Source organism: Homo sapiens, chromosome 17, assembly GCF_000001405.40.
Source record: "Homo sapiens chromosome 17, GRCh38.p14 Primary Assembly".
Lineage (NCBI taxonomy): Eukaryota > Metazoa > Chordata > Mammalia > Primates > Hominidae > Homo > Homo sapiens.
This window is the reverse complement of record NC_000017.11, coordinates 39664381-39688073: the sequence shown is the minus strand read 5'-3', so window position 1 is coordinate 39688073 and position 23693 is coordinate 39664381. Positions and strand designations below refer to the sequence as shown.

The 23693-nt window shown below is 56.5% G+C and overlaps 3 protein-coding genes across 13 annotated transcripts, besides 13 other annotated features; 1 reads left to right on the top strand and 2 right to left on the bottom strand.

The window, feature by feature from the left end:
* Window positions 17–16952, top strand: PGAP3 (post-GPI attachment to proteins phospholipase 3). 9 transcript variants are annotated; one of them, NM_033419.5, is made up of 8 exons: window positions 17–240; window positions 2055–2152; window positions 3325–3477; window positions 13395–13457; window positions 14020–14081; window positions 14424–14560; window positions 14819–15023; window positions 15208–16952. In NM_033419.5, the coding sequence occupies exons 1-8, from the start codon at window positions 60–62 to the stop codon at window positions 15269–15271; spliced, it is 963 nt and encodes a 320-aa protein (NP_219487.3). In that variant the 5' UTR covers window positions 17–59; the 3' UTR covers window positions 15272–16952. The 9 variants fall into 9 exon arrangements, with proteins under 9 accessions (NP_219487.3, NP_001278655.1, NP_001278657.1 ...); NM_001291726.2 differs by lacking the exon at window positions 3325–3477; NM_001291728.2 differs by lacking the exon at window positions 13395–13457.
* Window positions 8045–8545: an enhancer, noted in NCBI's record as "H3K4me1 hESC enhancer chr17:37835782-37836282 (GRCh37/hg19 assembly coordinates)". NCBI's record gives its function as "activates a minimal SCP1, AML or CMV promoter by ChIP-STARR-seq in naive H9 embryonic stem cells {active_cell/tissue: H9 hESC(naive)}" and the evidence as "EXISTENCE:reporter gene assay evidence [ECO:0000049][PMID:30033119]".
* Window positions 8045–8555: a biological region, named in NCBI's record as "H3K4me1 hESC enhancer GRCh37_chr17:37835782-37836282".
* Window positions 8496–8555: an enhancer, noted in NCBI's record as "active region_12102". NCBI's record gives its function as "activates an Ori minimal core promoter by ATAC-STARR-seq in GM12878 lymphoblastoid cells {active_cell/tissue: GM12878}" and the evidence as "EXISTENCE:reporter gene assay evidence [ECO:0000049][PMID:35858748]".
* Window positions 9797–13203: an enhancer, noted in NCBI's record as "VISTA enhancer hs1769". NCBI's record gives its function as "enhancer in: heart[6/7]" and the evidence as "EXISTENCE:transgenic organism evidence [ECO:0001131][PMID:17130149]".
* Window positions 9797–13380: a biological region, named in NCBI's record as "VISTA enhancer hs1769".
* Window positions 11523–11582: a silencer, noted in NCBI's record as "silent region_8462". NCBI's record gives its function as "represses an Ori minimal core promoter by ATAC-STARR-seq in GM12878 lymphoblastoid cells {active_cell/tissue: GM12878}" and the evidence as "EXISTENCE:reporter gene assay evidence [ECO:0000049][PMID:35858748]".
* Window positions 11741–12286: an enhancer, noted in NCBI's record as "H3K4me1 hESC enhancer chr17:37832041-37832586 (GRCh37/hg19 assembly coordinates)". NCBI's record gives its function as "activates a minimal SCP1, AML or CMV promoter by ChIP-STARR-seq in primed H9 embryonic stem cells {active_cell/tissue: H9 hESC(primed)}" and the evidence as "EXISTENCE:reporter gene assay evidence [ECO:0000049][PMID:30033119]".
* Window positions 12287–12832: an enhancer, noted in NCBI's record as "H3K4me1 hESC enhancer chr17:37831495-37832040 (GRCh37/hg19 assembly coordinates)". NCBI's record gives its function as "activates a minimal SCP1, AML or CMV promoter by ChIP-STARR-seq in naive and primed H9 embryonic stem cells {active_cell/tissue: H9 hESC(naive and primed)}" and the evidence as "EXISTENCE:reporter gene assay evidence [ECO:0000049][PMID:30033119]".
* Window positions 12833–13380: an enhancer, noted in NCBI's record as "H3K4me1 hESC enhancer chr17:37830947-37831494 (GRCh37/hg19 assembly coordinates)". NCBI's record gives its function as "activates a minimal SCP1, AML or CMV promoter by ChIP-STARR-seq in naive H9 embryonic stem cells {active_cell/tissue: H9 hESC(naive)}" and the evidence as "EXISTENCE:reporter gene assay evidence [ECO:0000049][PMID:30033119]".
* PNMT (phenylethanolamine N-methyltransferase) lies at window positions 17599–20055 on the bottom strand. Of its 3 annotated transcripts, none has more exons than NR_073461.2 (3): window positions 20004–20055; window positions 18238–18445; window positions 17599–18123 (listed from the first exon to the last, which is right to left on the bottom strand). NR_073461.2 is itself a non-coding variant. In NM_002686.4 (3 exons), exons 1-3 carry the CDS (start codon window positions 19596–19598, stop codon window positions 17685–17687), a joined length of 849 nt encoding a protein of 282 aa, NP_002677.1. In that variant the 5' UTR covers window positions 19599–19621; the 3' UTR covers window positions 17599–17684. The 3 variants fall into 3 exon arrangements, 2 of the variants coding, with proteins under 2 accessions (NP_002677.1, XP_011523211.1); NM_002686.4 differs by lacking the exon at window positions 20004–20055 and adding an exon at window positions 19397–19621; XM_011524909.3 differs by lacking the exon at window positions 20004–20055 and adding an exon at window positions 19053–19458.
* Window positions 19238–19397: an enhancer, noted in NCBI's record as "active region_12101". NCBI's record gives its function as "activates an Ori minimal core promoter by ATAC-STARR-seq in GM12878 lymphoblastoid cells {active_cell/tissue: GM12878}" and the evidence as "EXISTENCE:reporter gene assay evidence [ECO:0000049][PMID:35858748]".
* Window positions 19538–19787: a silencer, noted in NCBI's record as "silent region_8461". NCBI's record gives its function as "represses an Ori minimal core promoter by ATAC-STARR-seq in GM12878 lymphoblastoid cells {active_cell/tissue: GM12878}" and the evidence as "EXISTENCE:reporter gene assay evidence [ECO:0000049][PMID:35858748]".
* Window positions 20831–21568: an enhancer, noted in NCBI's record as "H3K4me1 hESC enhancer chr17:37822759-37823496 (GRCh37/hg19 assembly coordinates)". NCBI's record gives its function as "activates a minimal SCP1, AML or CMV promoter by ChIP-STARR-seq in naive H9 embryonic stem cells {active_cell/tissue: H9 hESC(naive)}" and the evidence as "EXISTENCE:reporter gene assay evidence [ECO:0000049][PMID:30033119]".
* TCAP (titin-cap) lies at window positions 21520–22725 on the bottom strand. Its single transcript, NM_003673.4, has 2 exons — window positions 22605–22725; window positions 21520–22358 (listed from the first exon to the last, which is right to left on the bottom strand). The coding sequence occupies exons 1-2, from the start codon at window positions 22712–22714 to the stop codon at window positions 21965–21967; spliced, it is 504 nt and encodes a 167-aa protein (NP_003664.1). The 5' UTR covers window positions 22715–22725; the 3' UTR covers window positions 21520–21964.
* Window positions 21569–22306: an enhancer, noted in NCBI's record as "H3K27ac-H3K4me1 hESC enhancer chr17:37822021-37822758 (GRCh37/hg19 assembly coordinates)". NCBI's record gives its function as "activates a minimal SCP1, AML or CMV promoter by ChIP-STARR-seq in naive and primed H9 embryonic stem cells {active_cell/tissue: H9 hESC(naive and primed)}" and the evidence as "EXISTENCE:reporter gene assay evidence [ECO:0000049][PMID:30033119]".

Sequence of the window (23693 nt, the reverse complement as noted above, 5' to 3'; positions counted from 1 at the left end):
CGGAAGTGGAAGCTTCATACTCCTAAGCTCCTCCCCCGGCGGCGAGCCAGGGAGAAAGGATGGCCGGCCTGGCGGCGCGGTTGGTCCTGCTAGCTGGGGCAGCGGCGCTGGCGAGCGGCTCCCAGGGCGACCGTGAGCCGGTGTACCGCGACTGCGTACTGCAGTGCGAAGAGCAGAACTGCTCTGGGGGCGCTCTGAATCACTTCCGCTCCCGCCAGCCAATCTACATGAGTCTAGCAGGTAAGCCCCACCCCCACGGTAAGCCCCGCCCATTTGTCTTGCTCCCGCCCCCTGCGCCCCCAATACGCCTCTGCAATCCCTGAACCTTAGTTTCCCCACGAGGTCTCTTATGAATGTGAGTGAAGCCCCTAAGGTGATGAGAGCCTTACCAGCCTCTCTTACTTTCCCAGAAGCTTTCATTTACTTATTTGTTCAGTCAAAAGGGTATTTATTAAATACATTCGGGCCACAATGTCTAGGAATGGCACAGAAATCAGACCAGGGTCCCGCCCATTGGGACTCACAGTCCCCACGGGGACATGAGCCTTTTCAAGTGCAAGGCAGAGAATGATTTGAGCCCCTGAAAGACTCTTTGATTAGGAAGCATTTGGGATAGGAAGGTGTCAGTTCCGGCTTTGAAGACGTGGGGGCAGGGATCATCTTGGAACGTTTTGTTTGAAGGAGGGACTTTGGACTGGTACATTCGATTTGGACCATAGTGGGCAAAGAACCAACGTATTGAGCACTCACTGTGTGACAGGTGTCACAATATGTCAAGTAATTTTTATCACACCCTTTGAGATAGTTTCTCTAATCCCAGTTTTACAGATGGGGATTAGAGAGATTAAATGCCCTGCCCAAGGTCACACAGCCAGTATGTAGTAAAGTGGAGTTTCCAGTTCTGGCCTGTTTGACCACAAGCTTGTCCTCTTTACTATTATACCACTTTGCATTCCAGACAGAGGGAACAGAGAGAATGGATGCCCTGGGCAGATGTGGGCACATCCAGGAGCTTTATTTACTCAGGGAGCAGGGTACATGAACAGGAGTAGTGACCAATACGGTTGGAAAGGCAATTTGGAGCCTCAAAAGTCAGGTTGAAGAATTTGGGCTTCATTTTCATAGGAAGGGAGTAAGATAGCAAGAACTCCTTCCAGGAGAGTAAGAGCAAATCCTATATTCAGGAAGGACAAATATAAACCCAGGTTTCCATAGATGAGTTCATCAGATGCCAACATCTTGATGGACTTGAGCAAAAGGAGAGGAAATGTCTGCCAAGGTAGAAAGATCATCTGAGCCCTGGAGTTCAAGACTAGCCTAGGCAACATGACAAGATGCCTTCTCTACAAAAAATAAAAGAATTAGCCAGACATTGTGGTCTCGCTACTTGGGAGGCTGAGGTGGGAGGATCGTTTGAGCCCAGGAGGTCAAGGCTGTGGTGAGCCATGCTCTCCCCACTGCACTCCAGCCTGGATGAAAGAGCGAGACCCTGTCTCAAAAAAAAAAAAAAAAAAAAAATGCCGGGTGCGGTGGCTCGTGCCTGCAATCCCCGCACTTTAGGTGGCAGAGGCAGGCAGATAACCTGAGGTTGGGAGTTCAAGACCACCCTGACCAACATGGAGAAACCCCATCTCTACTAAAAATACAAAATTAGTTGGGTGTGGTGGTGCATGCCTGTAATCCCAGCTACTCGGGAGCCTGAGGCAGGAGAATCGCTTGAACCCAGGAGGCGGAGGTTGCAGTGAACCGAGATCGCACCATTGCACTCCAGCCTGGGCAACAAAAACAAAACTGTCTCAAAAAAACAAACAAAAAAAAGACGAATATCTCTAATTGCTCACTAAAATATGCATACATACGTACATACACCTTCCCCTATGTGTACATCTCATCATCTCTCATTCATTCAAAGGGGAAGCTAGAATTTTGAGATTTCTCCTGGTTCTCTCCAACTTACAGGCCCTCTTGGCCTACATTTGCGCTTGGACCCCATTCATGCTCTCTCTTTCCTCTCTGTGCTGGGGAGTTCACCAGGCCACATTTGTCTGTTTCAGGCTGGACCTGTCGGGACGACTGTAAGTATGAGTGTATGTGGGTCACCGTTGGGCTCTACCTCCAGGAAGGTCACAAAGTGCCTCAGTTCCATGGCAAGGTGAGTTGGAGGGTCAGGGTAGGCATATGGTAGTAGCGTGGTAGGAGTAATATACCCCCTGGTTGGACCACACTGTCCAAGCAGTCTGAGGCATGGGGTAATGCGTGTGTGTTTGGGGCAGCTACCTGTTCTCCCCAAAATCTGCTGGTTTCCATAGAATTGGATAGGACCCATGTGTCCTGCCTCTGGATTTGGAGTAGCAATATCTGGAAGGCTTTGGAGTCTCCCCAGAGAGTGGTGCTGGGCCTCTTAGAGTGGTTGAGATGCCCACCTTACTGCAGGGACAAATTCCCTTACCTACTGTGGCTTGTTTCCTGTTGCTTCTCCAGTAGGGGTCTGGATTCACAGTAATATGCTTCAGCTTGTCTAGCGAGGCACAGTTTGCTGGTACCTTTCTTTCTTTTGTTTTTTGTTTTTTGTTTTTTTTTTTGAGATGGAGTCTCCCTCTGTCGCCCAGGCTGGAGTGCAGTGGCATGATCTTGGCTCACTGCAACCTCTACCTCCCAGGTTCAAGCAATTCTCATGCCTGAGCCTCCCAAGTAGCTGGGACTACAGGTGTGTGCCACCACACCCAGCTAATTTTTTGTATTTTTTTTTTTTTTTTTTTAAGTAGAGATGGGGTTTCACCATGTTAGCCAGGATGGTCTCAATCTCCTGACCTTGTGACCCTCTCGCCTCAGCTTCCCAAAGTGCTGGGATTACAGGCGTGAGCCACCGCGCCTGGCCTGCTGGTACGTTTCAATCCAGTATTATCTCATTCTGGCCTGTTGAGGTTGGCAGGAAGTATTCACCCCAGTTTTTCACAGAGTAAGCTGAGGCTCAAAGGACCGTGGTCAGTGGTAGAGGAGGGGTTGGGACCTGTGTCTTCTGGATGGCAACTCTGTGCTGTTTCCACCAGGCCATACTGAGTCATCTACCCTGACCCATCTGGTCTTCCCAGAGATCAGGGCTTACAGTGCTGTGCCTGCTGGCCAGGATGGGGGTATAACTCTTAACTAGGCACTGGAGGGTGGCTCATTAGTCTGAAGAGGTACTGAACCTGAGGCTTTGGCCAAACTCCAGAGCTGAGGACTCAGCTGAGGACCTGTTGCTTCAGCATGTCAAGAATAGGTGGACTGGGCCAGTTGAGGGTTGCCTGCCCTTCAAACCTCCTTCATCTGCTCCTTTTTCAGTGGCCCTTCTCCCGGTTCCTGTTCTTTCAAGAGCCGGCATCGGCCGTGGCCTCGTTTCTCAATGGCCTGGCCAGCCTGGTGATGCTCTGCCGCTACCGCACCTTCGTGCCAGCCTCCTCCCCCATGTACCACACCTGTGTGGCCTTCGCCTGGGTAGGTAACCTAGCAGGACTCCTGCTGTCTCCTCTTATCTAGGAAGGTGGAGCTCTACATCCCTATTAACACCCAACAGGGCTTCTACTTACCAGCTTCCCCTCTGTTTCCCAGGGCTAAAGTTGCAGCTGCAGGGTGGTAAAGCCTGGGGAGAAAACAGGGAGGGTGCTGAATCGGGCCTTACCTTTCCAGCAGAGCCCTAGGTCAGGCTGTTTGGGAAGGAGAGAGGAAAGAAGGGCATTTTTCTTGTCCTGAAGAAGGAAGCCACTAAAAGACCCAGTAGGACAGTTTACAAACACAGAGGGGAGATGGGGGGCTAAAGAGGATGCTGGGACCACAGGTCTTTCCAAGGGCCCTTCTGGAGGACTTGGAGCAATCTCAATTCCAGCCCAGGCCTGGTGGGGAGTCACAGCCATAGTCTCTGTGTAGAGCTCAGCCTAGTCTTTTTTTTTTTTTTTTTTTTTTTTTTTTTGAGACAGAGTCTCACTGTGTCACCCAGGCTGGAGTGCAAATGGCGCAATCTTGGCTCACTGCAACCTCCACCTCCTGGGTTCAAGCAATTCTCCTGCCTCAGCCTCCCAAGTAGCTGGGATGATAGGCGCGTGCCACCACACCTGGCTAATTTTGTATTTTTAGTAGAGACGGGGTTTCTCCATGTTGGTCAGGCTGGTCTCGAACTCCCAACCTCAGGTGATCCACCCACCTCGGCCTCCCAAAGTGCAGGGATTACAGTTGTGAGTCACTGCACCTGGCGAGCTCAGCCTAGGCTTAGACCATCCCTGGAGAAGCCCAGGTATGGTTACATCTGCAGGTGCAGAAAGGGCTGTCAGCTTCACAGTACGGCTGGTCTAAAGAGCTGTATTCAGGGCCTGGTATTGTGTGATAAGCACAGACTGGGGTGCAGATATGGACCGTGACGGCCTTGGGAAGGGTGTGAGAATGAAAGGTTGCAACGGATGTCTCTAGGTCGGAGCTGCCCCTGTAAGCCTTAAGGAAAAAATTTCCATTCACTCACCTTCCTGCTCTCACAGAAGCCATTCACTCAGGTGTTGAGCACCTACTATATGCCAGGCACTTTGCTGGAGATCCAGAAGTCTGCCCTCTGGTGCTAATCATACAATTGAATGTAAGAGTACAACTATGAAAAAGTGCAGTCGGGGAGAGGTGCTTCAGGGGTGTGTGTAAAGGCAGACCAAGACCAGCATGGGGCCATCAGGGAAGGCTTCCCTGGGGAAGGGGCATTAAAGGTAAGGTGGGAAGGATGCATGAATGTTAACTAGGTAAATTTGAGAAGAGTAAGGGAAGGCTTCTAAAGAGAAGTCTCAGAAAGTGCCCAGGTGGGAGAGAGGGAGGGTCATTCCAGGCAGCCTGACATGCAGGAAATCAGAGAGTGGGTGTGAGCTGGGCGGACTGATGGGTGGTGGATGGGGCCAGCCATGGAGAGCCTCACATTGGAGATCTTGACTCTCAAAGCATCAGGAAGTACGGAGGGATTTTATTTTATTTTATTTTATTTTATTTGAGACAAAGTCTCACTCTGTTGCCCCAGCTGGAGTGCAGTGGCGCTATCTTGGCTCGCTGCAACCTCTGCCTCCCAGTTCAAGCGATTCTCCTGCCTCAGCCTCCTGAGCAGCTGGGACTACAGGCATGTGCCACCATGCCTGGCTAATTTTTGTATTTTTAGTAGAGATGGGGTTTCACTATGTTGGCCAGGCTGGTCTTGAACTCCTGACCTCGTGATCCGCCCACCTCACCCTCCCAAAGTGCTGGGATTACAGGCATCAGCCACCGTGCTCGGCCTACGGAGGGATTTTAAATGAGGGTTGAGGAGAAAAGTTGTTTCATGAATAGATTTGCCCTTTGGAAAGCTCATTCTGGCTACTGTGTAGAGAACAGATTGAAGGGGGCGGGAGTGGATGCAGTAGACCAGTTGGTAGTTTTAGCACAGGGCCCAGTAGCTAGACTAGAGAGGTGGCATGGGTCTTGGGCATTGAAGAGAAGTACACTTGAGCTGTGTTTTGGAGGTAACATTAAAGCTTTTTAAAAATTTATTTCCTTAACAAATACATACATAGCTCATACTGTATGCCAGGCATCACTCTAAGCATTTTATAAGTATTAAGCTTGTTCATCCATAACAAGTGGCAAAAGACAAATTACAGCAAACTTACTTATAGAGCCAATTGGCTTTAATTTGTGATTCATGAATTGGTGCAGCCTCCGTTCTACAAAATAGAATGCAAGTTTCCATTGGGCAATAGCAGAACAGTGGGTTTTGTAAGGTGGGAACCAGGAAACAGAACAATAGAAAGAAACCTGATTGGTTAACATCAGATTTTTTTTTTTTTTTTTTTTTTTTTTTTTTTTTTTTGAGACAGAGTCTCACTCTGTCACCCAGGCTGGAGTGCAGTGGCGCCATCTTGGCCCACTGCAAGCTCTGCCTTCCGGGTTCACGCCATTCTCCTGCCTCAGCCTCCCAAGTAGCTGGGACTACAGGCGCCCACCACCACACCTGGCTAATTTTTTGTGTGTGTATTTTTAGTAGAGATGGGGTTTCACCATGTTAGCCAGGATAGTCTCGATCTCCTGATCTCGTGATCCGCCTGCCTCGGCCTCCCAAAGTGCTGAGATTACAGGCATGAGCCACTGCGCCCGGCCCACATCAGGTTTTTTTTTATAAGGGTTAAAGCAGAGGAGACTTCCTTACTTGGGTAGACTGGACTCTCCTGTTTTCAGGAAAAAGTGGTCTGTTTTGGGACCTATCAGTTACCTTAAAGTTTCAGTTTGAAGATCAAGTGCGGTGGCTCAGGCGTGTAATCCCAGCACTTTGGGAGGCCAAGGCGGGTGGATCACCTGAGGTCAGGAGTTCAAGACCAGCCTGACCAACATGAAGAAACCCTGTCTCTACTAAAAATACAAAATTAGCTGGGCATAGTGTTGCATGCCTTTAGTACCAGATACTTGGGAGGCTGAGGCAGGAAAATCACTTGAACCCGGAAGGCGGAGGTTGCGGTGAGCTGAGATCACGCCATTGCACTCCCGCCTGGGCAACAACAGTGAAACTCCGTCTCAGAAAAAAAAAAAGTTTCAGTTTGATTATGTGGCATTTAGCATGAGTGACTTCATTTTTGTCTGGTCTCTTGGGTCTAGTGCGGGGGCTCAATCCAGAACAATGGCCTCCCGTAATTTTTGTTTAACGCAGCTTATAGGTATTATTATTCTCATCCCCAGTTTATAGATGAGGAAACCAAGGACTGAAAAGGTTAAGTCCAGCCACAGATCACCGAGCCAGGGTTTGAATTCAGGCATCTGGCTCCAGAGTCCACACTTTCAACATCTTGGCTATGCTGATAAACTTCAAGAGTGGATTAGATGAGGAAAGAGCAGTAAGGGATGACCCCTTGTGTTTCTGCTTATAAGACAGTGATGGAGGCCGGGCGCAGTGGCTCACACCTGCGGTTCCAGCACTTTGGAAGGCTGAAGTGGGCGGATTGCTTGAGCTCACAAGTTCCAGACCACCCTGGGCAACATGGTGAAACCCCGTCTCTACCAAAAATACAAAAAAAATAAGCCAGGCCTGGTGGCACATGCCCGTAGTCCCAGCTAGTAGGAGGCTGAGGTGGGAGGATCACTTGAGCCCAGGAGGTCGAGGCTGCAGTGAGCTGTGATCCTGTCACTGTACTCTTGTTGCTCTAGCCCGGGTGACAAAGGGTGACCTGTCTTTAAAAAAAAAAAAGACAGTGATAGAAGCTGTGGGTGTGGATGAGATCACCCCAGGAGAGCCTAGTGAAAAGAGAAGGGATCTAGGGCAAAGCCCTGGGGAACCCCAAAATGTAATGGCTGGCTAAAGGAAGATGAGCCAGACACAGAGACAGAAGGAGTAGCCGGAGGGGCAGGTGGAGAACTGGGAGATAGTGTGCTTGGATTGTGCTTCCCGGGATGAGCACAGGAAGGAGAGAGGCTTCTGCTGTCCTGAATTGTACACGTGAGAACTGAAGGAGACCCCGGAATCTGGAGACACAGAGGTCTCTAGGGCCTTAGAAAAGCTGATAGATGGGGCGTGCTGCGAAGTCCAGGCCGAGCCTTAGACTTGGGAGGTGGGCGTGGGAAGGAGGTCAGGGAAGGAGGCTGTTAAACCTCTGGGAAATATGGACCCTCCTTAATACTTCCTATTCAACAACTATTAATAACAGTTGTGATAAATTAAGGAACAGGAGCCATGTGACAGGCTTGTCTGAAGCACTTTACATACATTTCCTTATTTCATCCTCATAGTACCCTTATGAGCTCTGAGTTAGATTCAGAGGGGAAAAAAACTTGCCCAAAATGCACAGCTAACAAGTTAGCAAGGAATAAAGACAGGGTTGGTGTCCAGGGCTGTCTGGCTCCAGGGCCTGAGAACTTAGCTCTTCTTCTAGGCCACTCCGTGTCCTGTGATGAGTGTCCATTGAGCATTTGCTGGGGGTGGAGACAGGGTTTAGCACTTGTGGAGGCTGAATCCCCTGCCCCAGGGAGCTAAGCATAGTGGGAGGTGCAGTTCTGGGCAGCCTGGGCAGCAGACGGCAGGCAGAGTCAAGGGGTGCTCCGGTAGAGAGCCCTGGGAGTCGTGAGGTGGGGAGACCGCGTCCTCTAACTGGGGAAGTCTGCCAGGCCAGGGAAGCCCGGGGAGGAGGAGAGGTTTAATCTGGGACTTAGACACATACATGTGTGGGGCAAGGCTTAGACACATACATGTGTGGGGACAGGGGATTGAATTCCAGCATTCCAGGAAACCTTGGCCCCATTGTAGCTGTGTGAATAGGAGTAGAAGAGTAGATGGAGCAGAGAGGCCCCTGAGTGCCAGGCTGAGGGCTAGGGGCTCTGATGTAGGCAGGGCCTGGCATCGGCACACACTGTCACAGGCTGGGTGAGATAAAGCCACCACTTCCTGTGTAGGCCTCTTGGAGCGAAGCAAATTTAGTCCTGGCTAAGAAAGCAGGAAGGGCAGGGAAGCTGAGGACGTTACACCTGTCTGCTTTCCTTTGGGGTTCTTCCACGGACACTGCTTGTCTGGGCCCACAGCGTGTACCACCCACTTGTCCCCACCTCTACTAGAGAGCATGGGACAGCCCTGCCTGAACTCTGAAGAAGCTTAGAGCCTTCTTAGATCGGAGGGTCCCACCCCTTGTCTTTATAACATGTGCCAGAGGCCAGGGGTCACTTCACAGATCTGGTCTTGTCATCCCTGATTCTTGGATTTTTCACCTCAATGGTATCTGCAACTCAGCTTCCTTCTTGGAGAGGGGGGTCACACTTCCCCAGGGTAGCCTGCAGTCCAGTGTGACTAAGGACCCTAGAGAAAAAGCAGCAGATGGCCGGGCATGGTGGCTCACGTCTGTAATCCCAGCACTTTGGGAGGCTGAGGCAGGTGGATCATCTGAGGTCAGGAGTTAAGACCAGGCTGGCCAACATGGTGAAACCCCGTCTCTACTAAGAATACAAAAATTAGTCAGGCGTGGTGATGGGTGCCTGTAATCCCAGCTACTCGGGAGGCTGAATTGCTTGAACCTGGGAGGCAGAGGTTGCAGTGAGCCAAGGTGGCGCCACTGCACTCCAGCCTGGGTGACTGGGCGAGACTCCATCTCAAAAAAAACAAAAACAAAAACAGAAAAAGCAGGAGATGTTAGATGTTGGGGTGGTAGAAGGCAGATAGTTGGGCCCTGTGTGTCTTATGGGATGTGGGGTTCTGGGACATGGGACCCCCTCATGCTCTCACTAGGCCTTCAAGAAACAAAGCCTCAGAACCCACACTCCTGTGGATGGCCTAGTTTGGCTTTCCCAGTTGCTCTTGGGCTTCCCAGTTGCCCTGTGAGTTTCTGCAGGAGGGAGGGATCCTGAGCTGTATGGAGGGTGCGGCAGTGGACTTTGACCTGGGCCTTCTGGGGCACTGAGGCTCCTGATTTCTGTTGGGGTGAGGATAGGAAGGCAAGGTCCCTCACCCGCTCCGGGCTAAGTCTTGGGGGAAGGGTACCTCAGCTTTGCCTCTGGGAAATGAGGAGACCCCGCCCTCCAGCAGGACTCATGATAACGCTGGCACAAGAAGGCAGCCCTTGCCTTGCCATTTAGGCCTGGGCTTGGGCTGGGGAGCAGCCAGGCGGCGGGTGGGGAGCCTACCAAAGCTCCGCATACCATGTCTCTTTGACTTCACGGAGTAGGGGCCCCTGCTGTGTGCCAAAGCCAGAAGGCCAAACCAATTCCCCAGGCCTTCATCCAGTCAGGAAAGGTCCTCAGGTGTAGAGAGGAGGGTGAAGTGGTGGGAAGCCCAAACCATCTCTGTAGAGTGGTTTGTGTAGGTGGGGACTGATTCTTCTCTTCCTCTGTTAAGCAAACTACAAGAAGAGGTAGGTTGCAGCTGTAGTAGAATGATGGTTAGACTTCAGGAAGGACTTCCCATGGTCAGACAAGAGCTAGTGGAACAGGCAATGGCAGGAAATCAAGGGATCCTCTGGGATCTTGGAAAAAGCCCTCCTTCTCCCATCCGCATCCACCTCTGTCTCCCTTCTCTCAGGAGTGAGCTGGGGCTGGCCTGCCCTGCCTGAGGCAGGGGGTGAGACACTGTGGCCTCCAGAGGAGCCCAGGATGGCAGCAGGCATCATATTTAACATTCTGCCTCCCCCACTTCTGAGACACTGAGCTATTTTAAGCCCCACTTGTCCCCACCGCCATGGTGTCAATGACAGCCCCGAGCACTGGGGCTTAGCGCCGGGTCGAATTCCTGACAGATCTGGCTCACTTGGCATCCAACCAGTTTCACGGCTGTGATATTTTTGTCTCGATTTTCTTATTTCCAACAGACTGAAACAGCCTCTTGCTCTCCCTCCACCCAGTCTCCTATTCCACCCCCACTGGCACCCTGCCCCTGGCCACCCCCTCTCCTCAGTGTTTACGCAAAGCTCTGGGTGCCTGCTGGGCAGCCTGTCGCCCTCCTGGCCAGTTCCCCTCCCTGCCCCCCTTCACTTGAGCGTGGCAAGGAGTCCGAGAGTAGCCGTGCCTTGGCATCTTGGAACTCTCCTTCCTTCCAGAGCCCATCTTTCCCCTTTGCTTGCTCTTGATGACAAACTCTGAGTGAGGAGAAATGGATCTGTTCGGTTCACATTGATGGGAACATGGCTCCAGAGGAAGGAGGAGGGGCTCTTCCTATAGCTGAGGTGTCTCCGTTCTGGAATGGAGAGACCCTGAGGCCCCATAGTTTGACCTCAAACTTTGTGACCCTTGCGGAAAGGGAAGTTGAGGGGCAGGTGAACGGGCGTGGTGAGAGTCAGTCTACTGGACCTGATGAAGGAAACTGACATTGATGGGCACCTACTATGGACCAGGCAGCAAAACCAGCAGCCATTCAGAGGAGTTCCTTGGTGCCAGGCATTCCGCAGACCTCGTCCTCATGGCCTCCTGTGCAGTGAGCATCATTATGAACCTGTTTTGTAGGTGAGGCAGTGGAGGCTCACACATACTGGGTTATGTGTCCAAGGTCACACAGCTGCGTAGGGGCTGAGGCAGGACTTGAATGCAGACTCTGTCTCATTGTGAAGACTGGACACTCTTCCCCCAGCCTGGAGCTGTGGAGGTGGGCCTAGGCAGCTAGGAGACCACCCCTTATCTGCCTAAACATCCTTGGCCTGCAGGGAGAGTGGGAGGCAGACATCCTCTTAGGCCTCAGTTCTATGGGAAGCTGACGGGGTTCTGTGCTGGTCAGGCAAGTGGAGAGAACACTCATGTTTCAGCCTGTCCTGGGCTCTGTGCTGTACGCTGTATTTGTATTGCTCATTAAACCCTTATCAACTATGATTATTCCCATTTTGCAGATGAGAAAACTGAGGCACAGCAAGGCTAAATAACTTGCCCAAGGACACACAGGAAATGCAGAGCCAGGAACTGAACCCTGGCAGTCTGGCTGTAGGGCTTGCATTCTTAATGATACCACTACCTCCCAAATCTGAGGAAAGGGTGAGAAGAGGAGCACCCCCAGAGTGGGATGCTCCCCAGGGGGGAGGGGCTTTTCAGGGGTGCAGAGGCCAGGCTTCAGGTGGGTCTCTGTGAGTGGAAGGCACCCAGGGAGGCGGTTGGAGAGGGGACCCAGCAGCCCCACCCATCCTGTGGCCCTACGCATATGTTTGCCCGCACACACACCCCCTGCTTTCGGTGTTCTGAGCCACTTAGCTCAGTCCTGCAGTCCTCTTCTCACCTCCCCCTTCCTGCTGTGGGTGACAAGGAGGCCTGGCTGGCTGCCAGTCCCTGCCGCCTTCCTCTTCTCCTTCCCACATTGGCTCCAGGGCCACTCTCCTCCCTAAGGATGTCCCTGTTCCTGGCCTGCCAGGGAGAACTGGTCCATGTGATTGCCTGGGTCCCGTCTCCAGCCCAAGCCTGCTCCTCTCCCCATGCTGACTCTAAGCTTTTCAGACTGTGGGAGCAGTGTCTGAGAAGCCACCAGGTTCAGTCCTGTTGTGCAGCCTCCATGCCTGTCTCTGGGGAGGGGGCTGCAGCAGGGCAGAGCCTTGAGTCTGGTGGAAGGGACAGAGTGGCCATCCTCAAAGGAGGAAGCAGCCTGCCCTAGACCACACCACCTAACGCCAGGCTGGAAAGGAACTGAAGTTTCACTTGAGCCATGATTTGTCCCGGGGGAAGCTTGGGCTGAGAAGGGCAGGGCCCTTTGACCAGGTCAAGAGGAGCAGAAGCAGCAAGGCTCAGCCCAGAGCCCAGGCCAGACAGGGGCACTAGGCAGCCTTGCGCCTTCCAGAGCTTGGCACCCCGAGAACCTGACTGGCTGTGCAGCAGTTCTGCCCCGCCTGTACCCCTTCTCCTCCCATTCTCTCCTGAGCTCCCCAGACCTGCATTTGGAATGCATCTTACTGTCTGACCTGCCTGCTACAGTGCCAGACAGAGTGTAGCTTCTTGCCCCCTCCCTCTGTCCCCTGCCTGGCCAGTTTTCCTGGTACATTGGAGCCAACTGAGCAGTTCCTGGCCTTTCCTCATCTCCGCCAGGCCTGTCCCACCCTAGCGCATCCCTCCCCACCTCCAGGCCATTCCCGGCCTGGCCTGCTGTTCCTTTGGTTGTCACGATTTCCCAGCCCTTCCCTTCAGCCCACCCTGCTTTCAGCAGTTTGGGCCTTTGCTGTGGACACAGCAGTCCCTGAAGAAAGTGCCAGCACCAACGCCCACAAGCTCTTAGGCTCATTCGCTAGATAACTTTTGTGCTCTCTCCACGCAGCTAATTTCCAGGAAGAAGGCCTCAAACATTCCCCTGGGCCCTGGCCCACCACAGCCCCTCCAGTCCTGCCCTCTACTCCTCCCAGGCTCGGGAGCAGCCACTGGTCTGGCGGGTTGGGCAGGCCCAGCCAGGAGGAAGCTGGGCTTGGTTCACCCTCCTCCTGGGAGCCTGTGCCCCAGTGGGATCTGCTTGATCTCCCTCCCCTGCTGCTTGGAACACACCCCAAGCTGGCTCGAGCCCCTCCACCCCACCCACCTCATTCCCGCCCCCAGAGGCTGAGGTCACTGGCTCCCCTGGGCCCGGGTGGGGTGGTGCTGTCAACACCTGCCGGTTGGAGGAGGAGGCAAGGCCCCTGGGGGCTGTTGTCTTAGCAATTGAGTAACTAGGGAGCTTGGCTATACCGGAACTGGTTCCCAGGCCAGGCCGGAACCTGTGGAGGCTGCAGCCCCCCGTGGCCTTGGGGGTTTGGGGTGGCAGGAAGTCCACCCCAGGGACCCTGGCTGGGTGGGGGTAGAGGGACATAGGTTTGTTCAGAGGGCTCCAGGGGCAGGAAAAGCACATTTCTTGTCCTGCAGAGCCCCTTCCCAAAGGTGAAATGGATGTGAGCAAATGGGGGTCCCTGCCTTGAGGTCAGGGTGGGGGGCAGCATGCTCACCAGCCCCTCCCTCCTTAGGTGTCCCTCAATGCATGGTTCTGGTCCACAGTTTTCCACACCAGGGACACTGACCTCACAGAGGTGAGCATTCCTCCAGCTCCCCCTCCTGCACAGGGTGGTCCCAGAGGAGCCCAGAAGTGGGCAGAGGGGCTCTAGAGGGTCATGCCAACTCCCTCTGAGGAGCACTGGGAGGAGTATGGGGTGGGCATCCTAAACCTGTTGGTGCCCTTGATCCTCAGTGAGCCTCATCAGGTGGGGATGAGTATTCGCTCTTCTTGCCTGATGAGGCAGCTGAGCCTTCGACAGGGGGACCACATGCTTAGGGGCACCCAGCCAGTGAAGGGTTGCCACAGGACGTGACCCCATGGCTGTCAGACTCCACACTGTGCTCTGAATTCTGTGCAGCGTGGTCATGTCCTGGAGCCTCAGCAGGAACCCTCCACCAGCGTCCCTAAAGCCTTGTTCCTGGGCACATTTTTAAAAACTTGTATGGTGATGTGAACACAAGACTCAGTCAGAGTGAAACAGTGATAGGCAGGCCCAGGACCCCGGCCCCTCTCTGCCACTCCTCCATGCCCCCATCCCCGCGGGTCCTCTCCGTGAAGCCTCATGCTGGTCCCTCACCACCCTTCCCTGTCCTCAGAAAATGGACTACTTCTGTGCCTCCACTGTCATCCTACACTCAATCTACCTGTGCTGCGTCAGGTGAGCCTGCCTGGGTGGCTGCAGGGGCAAAATCGAACCCTGGGGGCAGAAAGGGGTCACCCAGCCTTCCCCTGGGGGCCTTCTTCACTAGTCTCCCAACACCTACGCCCCCCAACCCCCAACACATCAGCTGTCCTGGGTGAGGACTCTGGGGTAGGACTGGGGGCCCTGGCTCCTGACAAGGAGCTGTAGCACTTGCTGCCCAGCTGTGGCCTGTTTGGTGGGGAGAGGGGTAGTGACTTCAGGGGCCATGCACCAATGTTGGGGGGAGGAGATGCTTCAGGGAATGCTGCTCTGGGGATGGGCCACCTGCCCTCTGAGCAACCCTGGACGGTGGGGCAGGACCGTGGGGCTGCAGCACCCAGCTGTGGTCAGTGCCTTCCGGGCTCTCCTGCTGCTCATGCTGACCGTGCACGTCTCCTACCTGAGCCTCATCCGCTTCGACTATGGCTACAACCTGGTGGCCAACGTGGCTATTGGTGAGGCCCTGGGGGGCTTGGGCCATCTGCAGAAGTGCTAGCTTGGGGTGCGAGTGGGAGGTTGGTGCCATTCCTGGAGAAGGAGGTTCTAGAGAGACTCTTGGGGTAGAGGAATGGAGAAGAATTTGAGGTGGGAGAGAGAGGAGGCTGGGAGGAGAGTCCGAGGATGATCCTGGGGTCAGAGAGCATGGAGTTGGGGGTGGCCTTGGGGAGAAGGAGCCGAAGGAATGAGTCTCTCCTGCCCCCACTGGCACCCAGGCCTGGTCAACGTGGTGTGGTGGCTGGCCTGGTGCCTGTGGAACCAGCGGCGGCTGCCTCACGTGCGCAAGTGCGTGGTGGTGGTCTTGCTGCTGCAGGGGCTGTCCCTGCTCGAGCTGCTTGACTTCCCACCGCTCTTCTGGGTCCTGGATGCCCATGCCATCTGGCACATCAGCACCATCCCTGTCCACGTCCTCTTTTTCAGGTGGGTGCTGCCCCCTGCCTGGTGCTCACCTTCTTTGGACCCTTCCTTGCCCACTCCTTAGGGGAGATTGGGGGCTCTGTGTGCCCATCCGCCCCCTCCCACCTTGCCTGCATGCACCCCACCCTTGTCTCCATGCGAGCTGTCAGAGCTGTGTGCCTCAATGGGCTACTCCTTTGGCCCACAGCTTTCTGGAAGATGACAGCCTGTACCTGCTGAAGGAATCAGAGGACAAGTTCAAGCTGGACTGAAGACCTTGGAGCGAGTCTGCCCCAGTGGGGATCCTGCCCCCGCCCTGCTGGCCTCCCTTCTCCCCTCAACCCTTGAGATGATTTTCTCTTTTCAACTTCTTGAACTTGGACATGAAGGATGTGGGCCCAGAATCATGTGGCCAGCCCACCCCCTGTTGGCCCTCACCAGCCTTGGAGTCTGTTCTAGGGAAGGCCTCCCAGCATCTGGGACTCGAGAGTGGGCAGCCCCTCTACCTCCTGGAGCTGAACTGGGGTGGAACTGAGTGTGCTCTTAGCTCTACCGGGAGGACAGCTGCCTGTTTCCTCCCCATCAGCCTCCTCCCCACATCCCCAGCTGCCTGGCTGGGTCCTGAAGCCCTCTGTCTACCTGGGAGACCAGGGACCACAGGCCTTAGGGATACAGGGGGTCCCCTTCTGTTACCACCCCCCACCCTCCTCCAGGACACCACTAGGTGGTGCTGGATGCTTGTTCTTTGGCCAGCCAAGGTTCACGGCGATTCTCCCCATGGGATCTTGAGGGACCAAGCTGCTGGGATTGGGAAGGAGTTTCACCCTGACCATTGCCCTAGCCAGGTTCCCAGGAGGCCTCACCATACTCCCTTTCAGGGCCAGGGCTCCAGCAAGCCCAGGGCAAGGATCCTGTGCTGCTGTCTGGTTGAGAGCCTGCCACCGTGTGTCGGGAGTGTGGGCCAGGCTGAGTGCATAGGTGACAGGGCCGTGAGCATGGGCCTGGGTGTGTGTGAGCTCAGGCCTAGGTGCGCAGTGTGGAGACGGGTGTTGTCGGGGAAGAGGTGTGGCTTCAAAGTGTGTGTGTGCAGGGGGTGGGTGTGTTAGCGTGGGTTAGGGGAACGTGTGTGCGCGTGCTGGTGGGCATGTGAGATGAGTGACTGCCGGTGAATGTGTCCACAGTTGAGAGGTTGGAGCAGGATGAGGGAATCCTGTCACCATCAATAATCACTTGTGGAGCGCCAGCTCTGCCCAAGGCGCCACCTGGGCGGACAGCCAGGAGCTCTCCATGGCCAGGCTGCCTGTGTGCATGTTCCCTGTCTGGTGCCCCTTTGCCCGCCTCCTGCAAACCTCACAGGGTCCCCACACAACAGTGCCCTCCAGAAGCAGCCCCTCGGAGGCAGAGGAAGGAAAATGGGGATGGCTGGGGCTCTCTCCATCCTCCTTTTCTCCTTGCCTTCGCATGGCTGGCCTTCCCCTCCAAAACCTCCATTCCCCTGCTGCCAGCCCCTTTGCCATAGCCTGATTTTGGGGAGGAGGAAGGGGCGATTTGAGGGAGAAGGGGAGAAAGCTTATGGCTGGGTCTGGTTTCTTCCCTTCCCAGAGGGTCTTACTGTTCCAGGGTGGCCCCAGGGCAGGCAGGGGCCACACTATGCCTGCGCCCTGGTAAAGGTGACCCCTGCCATTTACCAGCAGCCCTGGCATGTTCCTGCCCCACAGGAATAGAATGGAGGGAGCTCCAGAAACTTTCCATCCCAAAGGCAGTCTCCGTGGTTGAAGCAGACTGGATTTTTGCTCTGCCCCTGACCCCTTGTCCCTCTTTGAGGGAGGGGAGCTATGCTAGGACTCCAACCTCAGGGACTCGGGTGGCCTGCGCTAGCTTCTTTTGATACTGAAAACTTTTAAGGTGGGAGGGTGGCAAGGGATGTGCTTAATAAATCAATTCCAAGCCTCACCTGCCCTTGTTCAGCTCATTTGTGTGAATAGGGTGGGCTGGAGGGCAGGAGAAGACAGTTGTGGCGGCAGGGGCAGGTCCCAGAGCTGGCTGGAGGCAGTAAACAGAGGTGAGGTCTCTGCCTGGGCACGTGGCATGGGGAATGGCAGGCCCCAGAGGCAGAGCTGGGCAGAACTCAAGTCCAGTTGTGAGAGGGAGCTGGAGCCAGTTCTTTCCCTTTCACTTCCCTCGGCCATTGTGCTTCAATCATAACACCCCCACCTCCCCACCACCTTGCAGATTCTACTTCCATCTCCTCATGATCCCCACTCTCCCTCGTTCTGGTCTGAAGCAGTCTGCACTGTTTGTGACTTCACCTCTCTGAGCTTCACCTGGAAACAGACTAGCAGGACCTGCTGCTGAATGCAGGAATGAATGATGCGATGGACACAATGGCATATCACAAGTGCCTGGTGCACTGCAGGTGCCCGGTGAGCTCCCCTGACCTTGGCCTTCCTTAGTTTGGGAAGAATGAGTGGTACAGAATGCTAGCCTCAAGGAAGCTTCTGGAAAAAAAGCCTAGGGTGAATGTCTCCCCTACCCGGACACTCAGATCTCTGGGCCCTTGCTGCTTCCCAGGAGAGCCACACACAGCACTGACCGCAGCGGCAGGGTATTATTTCTTTATTAGGTGCCACTTCAAAGAACAGGGAATCCAGGTGGGTGGGGGCCACAGGGCACCAGGTACAGCCCTCACAGCCCAACCTTCTGAGCCCAGGCGAAGAAGACGCCCTTGACATCATCTACGCCTGTCTGAAGGTGGGCAGGCATGATATAGGTGCGGAGGTCCCGGACCTTGTAGCCACTACGCACCAGGGCCTCCCTCACCTCCTCCTCAGACACTGGCACCACCGTCAGCCTGGCCTCCCCAGCCAGGTACCACGACTCCTCCAGGGCCCCGATGAGGAGGAGGTGCCCCCCAGGCCTCAGCAGCGTGGTGATGTGGTCCAGGGCCCGCTGAAAGCTGGCAAGATCTGGGCTCACAGCCTCCAAGCAGAAGGCAGAGACCAGGGCGTCAGCAGGCAGGGGAGCTGGGCTCCCAGCACCCAGGGGCTGGGGCTGGTGCACGTCGATGGGCAGGACCCGTTTCACCCTGGCTCGCAGCTGGCGCTCCTTATCCTGCCAGCATTCCCTGTGCAGGAGGCACAAGGCAGGGCTCAAGGCTGTTCTACGCTCAGGCCTCTGTTGCCCCAACCAGCCACTCTATGGGAAGCCTCCTCCCCAACCCTCACCCCCCAGTCCTTACCCCTTGCCCTCAATGAGGCAGGCATGTTGGCTGTACATGCTCCAGTTGAAGGCCCCCGGCTCCTCCTGCAGCCAGCGCCCCAGCTCCTGGCGGTTGACCTCCAGGAAATCTGTCATGGTGATGTCCTCAAAGTGGCTGCAGGCACTGAGCAGCTGGTACACGGTGGGGCCTGAACCAATGTCGATGAGGGTGCGTCCGGACACTTCACCTGGGCAGGGCAGAGGAAGAGGGTCCTGGTGCCAGCCAGCCCAGGCAGCCCCTGCCTCCTTACCCTTCCCTCCCCTGCATCTCCCTGCCTCTCTCTAGTTCTTCCTTCTCCTCTGCAAATGTGTCTCCATCTGGAAAAAGCATTGGCCCCAGAGTTAGACTGAACCCAGCTCCAACATGGGCTGCCCTTCGGAAGGGAACTTCACCGCTCTGAGACTCAGGTTTCACATCTAGAAGACTATACCTACTGGCCGGGCGCAGTGGCTCACACCTGTAATCCCAGCACTTTGGGAGGCCGGGGTGGGTGGATCCTAAGGTTGGGAGTTCGAGACCAGCCTGACCAACATGGAGAAGTCCCGTCTCTACTAAAAATACAAATAAATTAGCCAGGCATGGGGGCGCATGCCTGTAATCCCAGCTACTAGGGAAGCTGAGGCAAGAGAATCGCTTGAACCGGGGAGGCGGAGGTTGCAGTGAGCCGAGATGGCGCCATTGTACTCCAGCCTGGGCAACAAGAGCGAAACTCCGTCTCAAAACAAATAAAAAATAAAAATAAGTAAATAAATGAAAATAAAATAAAGAAAAAGAAAGAAAACAACTATACCTACCAGCCAGGCTCAGCGAGGAAATCCTGGCAGTTTCTCACCCCTGTCCCACATCTGCCTCCATTTCCTCCTATGCATCTCCACCTCAGTCTGTCCTGCATCCCCCACCTTAGCTCTCAATTCTGAGCACTCTCCGCCCCCTCTCTCCACCTCTCTCTCCTCTGCCCCTCTCCTAAGGGATGTTGCTCTTTTTTCTCTTCTGTTTGCACCTCTCAGCTATCTCTTGTTTCTTGGTCCCCATCTGTTAGGCGCCTGGTCTGTCTCCCTTTCCTTCTTTTTATTTCCCTGCGCCTGCTTTCACTCCCCGACGACCTCTTGTCCCTCGTGCCTCAGTTTCCCCCGCTCACCGGTGGCGAAGGTCTGCGCCAAGCAGCGCAGCTTCCACGGCCCGACGCCGTTCGGGTTGCACAGGTCCCCGCGAGGGGGCGCGTAGTTGTTGCGGAGGTAGGCGCGCGGCTCGAAGCGCTGGTAGGCCGAAGCCACCGCCGCCTGGCCCGGGGCCGAGTCAGGGGCTGCGCCCGCATTGGGGCTACGGTCTGCGCCGCTCATGCTGCCGCCGCGGTCCGCCCAGTGCCCCGCTCGCCTCGCGGCCCTTTTTTCTACCGCCCGACCCCCGCCCCGACCGGTCCGCTGTGGGGGCGGCAGCTGACCGCCGAGCCGCCCGGGGCCATGTGCGCCGCATCCTCCCCACCCATTCATCCATCTCCCTTAGTGTCCGGGCTGCAGACACACCGGAGGTGAGTGGGGCGGCGGCTGCAGCGGCAATCGTCCCCCACACCCCCGGCTCCGTACTTGCTCCCGCAGCCCTCGCCCTCCGCCTCGCCTGCCCCGCCCCGAGTCCCGCCTCTGGGCGCCCCCCACCCTCAGTTCCTCACCCCCACAATCTTTAGACCCCCTCACCCCCGCCGGCCGGCCCCTCCCATCTCTCTTCTCCAGCCCCCCGCAGCCATTCACCTCTTTTGCCCAGCAGCCCGCCCCTTCTCTTTCCTGATTCGAGGTGGAGACTGGGGAATTAGGCCCTTTCCCCAGTTTCCCCCTCGCAGCGCCCTCCGCGACGAGGCCCCAGACCCCGCCAGGCTCCCCTCCCTCCCGGACACCCGTCCCAGCACCCACCCTTCCCTTAGAACTGCCACACAACTCCCCCTCCCCGCCCCTCCTCCAGGCCTCTCTCGTCCGTTGCTATGCCACCGGGCCCTCCAGCGACACCCCCTCCCCACCCCGCCCCAGAAAGGACAGTCCGTTCCGGCCTCCGCTGTGGTCGCTCCGGGGGCCCCAGAGCAGGGCGCGGCACTGCCCGTCCGATGGCAGGCGCGATAGGGGAGGTGAGCTGTGCTAATGCACTTAGCGGGCGGAACAGCCGGGCCTCCCCTGCGGGCCCCGCGGGTTCCCAGCCGCTTATCTGGGGGCTCCCGAGGACAGAAGGTTCGGGTTCGGGTTGTTCCCGCCACTTCGGGGGCGGCGCCGGACCCGGGTGAGGGCAGAGGGCTTGGGCAGGGGAGGGGCAGGACGCATTCGCGGAGGGCCGCCGGGGCCACCGGGGAGCGCAGTCCGGGCCTTGGGGCCCAGCCGATTTGGGGTCCTGCGGATGTAGGGGCTCTGACCCCACTCCTCTCGCAGCCCACCCTCCAGCTTCCCTCCGAAGGAGCGGCCAGGCCAGGCATGAAGATTCTGCTCAGCACCCCAGGTTCTGGCTGTCAAAATGCCAGGGTCTCCCCACCTATCTCCCAGATGGGAAGCCAATTCTGCCTGTGGCATCTCCGTGGTCTTCCTGAAGACCCCTTCCTTCCCCTCTGGATGAGTCCCGGGCCCTTCTGCCCTGGGTAGGTCACCAGCCCAGCTCCTGCCACCGTGGGTTCCTGGCCCCGCTTGATGTGGGCCTCCTCCATGCCATTCCCTCCCCCTTGTCCCCAGGGGAAAGTCTCCTTGGGAGAGGCAGCTAGGTTGGGACATGAGTCACCACAACAGCTGCAGGGGTCACAGAGGGGAGCCTGACCCCCTAGCACCTCCAACCTTCCCTGGCTTCCAGGGCAGGGGGTGTGGAGCGAGACACAGCTGAGGATTGATTCTGTCTGGATTCAGAACTGAGAGGCAGGTTAGTTTTAGAGGTCACTGACCCCGTTCACACCCCGAGGCAAAGCCAAGGACAGTCCTGGCACCAGCCCCTCCATATTCTCCACGAGACATCATTGAAACAAACCCTGGATGCGGATGCCAGCTGGCTTGCTGGTTACCACCCAGTGCCAGGGGGCTGGACACAGAAGCCAGGACTGGGCAGCGGTCAGGGTACGGGAAGGAGACTGGAGACAGCACCCTGTTTACAGCTCTGTCCTGCCCCCACCCCCACCCCAAGTATGGGGTGTACCCATTAGCTCTGCCATATTTAGCTCAGATGCGGAGCCTGGTCCCAGAAGTGGGCATTGAGGGGACACCCATGGGCCAGCCCCCCCAACCACAAGGAAAGAGATGCAACTCTGGCACATGATTGAGCATTTATTGCGGCACTAACAGAGGGTGCTGGGGGCCCCACCATCCTTGCCTCTGCCCTTTTCACCTCCCCCTCCCTCCCAGCTTCTTCTGCCTAGAGCGTTCCAGATTCCCCTCACATTTTCCTGGATCAGGGCCACTCCTCCCAGGCACCTCTTGCCCTCACCAGTACCTTTTGTCCCTTCTCCTGGGGCTGAGGGTCCTCAGCTGTGCTGGCCCCCAACTCTCCACCCTTAGTGCCCACTGTCTCTGCCACCCTCCCTTTGGGAACTCAGGGGGCTCAGGCATCCTGGCCTCTGGCTCCCCCCTCCCCTAGCCCCCAACTCTGGGCAAACTACAAAGCAGCCATGGCCAGCAGCTCCCCTCCACAGTCCTAGCCAGGAAGGGCCCAGCCCAGGGCGGGCACAGCGGAGCCCAAGTCACAGTCCCTCTCAGCCTCTCTGTGCTTCCTGGGACATGGAGCGGGACAGGGAGCGACGAAGTGCACCGGGCTTGCTGACAGGCACCACAGGGGGCAGCTGCTTTGTGATCTCAGCCACCTCCTGGCGGTCCACACACTGGCCACCCAGGGCTGTCTCCAGCGCCAGCAGCTCCTGAAGCTGGATGGGGGTGTCCTCACGCTCCTCCTTGGTGGCGCCCATCTTGGCAGGGGTGAAGATGGGCAGCGGCAGTACCCGCTGGTAGGGCAGCTGGTACTCCTGCAGCCCACGGCCGAGGATGCCCATCCGCATCATCAGCCAGGGCGAGCGCTGCACCAGCACCTGGCACTGCCCCTGCTGGTGGTAGGTCTCATGTCTCTGGGTGTCCTCCTCATGCAGGGAGCAGCTGGGGAGAGGGGAGGGGCAGTGAGCTCCTGGGAGCTGTTGCTCTCTGGGCACAGGCTGGGTGGGGGGCTCCCCTGGGCTGCTGGGACCTGGGGGCAGGAAGGGTGGTTCCCCTTTGCTCTCCCCATGGGGCATTCTTCCTGCCCCCACCCCCAGAAATTTCTCCAGGGCTTCATGCTCTGGCCTCATGGCTCAGTGAGGGTGCTCTGGGGGAGCAGAGGCAGGGCTCTAGCAGACCCACACTCACCCCTCCTCGGGCCGTGTGGACAGTGTCAGATCCTTCCATTCTGCCCAGAAGGCCTCCCGGCGCTCACAGTTCTCCTCCGACACCTCGCAGCTCAGCTCTGAGGTAGCCATGATCACTCCTCATTCTCTCTCCCCTCCCAGGCCCTTTAAATAGCCCCCTCCTCCCCCTTCTCCAGGGGCTATTTTCGGCCCCTCTGGTGTCAGATGCTATAAGTAGAGCCAAGACTCACTAATGGGGGGACGCCGGACCCAGGGCAGGGGTTGGGGTACCTGGACGCTGGCTGCCCCCCGGTCAGAGGTCTGGGGTCCAAGGTCCTGGGGTCAATGCCTCCAGGTGCCTGACATTACTCAGACACCGTCTCATGCCAGCCACATGCCCAGCCTTGTGCCCCCCTGGCACTTGCCCTCTGCCCCACCCACTCCCCTTTGCAGGGAGGACAGCAGCTTGTCTGTAAACAGAGCAGGACCAGCAGGAACTGATGCCCCCTCTGGGCTCTGTACCAGGGCTGCCAGGTCCTGCCCTGGCTGTGCTCTCCTCTGCCTGGGCTCAAGGGCATATCCCCAGAAGGGAGAGTGCAACCACGTCCTCAGGCGCCTGCACCAAAGGCCTAGTGCCTAGTCCCCAGTCACCCTCACCACACCAGCAGGGGCGGAGACAGTCAACTTCATGCCTGGGAACCTGGGGCATGAGCCTTGGCCAGGTGTTTTCCTTCCCCATGGCCAGTGGTCAGGTAAGTGGTCTTAGGAGACAGGTCTCAGGAGACAGTCAGGCTAGTAGGGGTGGAGGGCCCCCAGTTCTACCCCAACACCTGTGTTGGGTGAAATGGGAATCCAGGGGCTCTGATGGGTGATAGTCAGAAGGCCTGGCTCCAGATCAGCCATAAATAGGCTGTGTGACCATGGGTCAGTCCCTGCCCCTCTCTGGGCCCCTTTCCCCACTTTCTGGCCACTGCAAGAGGACCAGAAGAGCTCTGGAGCCTGCCCGCTCTGATGTGCTACCTGGGAGGGGACTGGCTCTTCTTCATGGGGAGCAGGGGAGACAGATGGCTGTGGGGACAGTCCAGCACCCCAGGAGTAGCAACTCATGGTG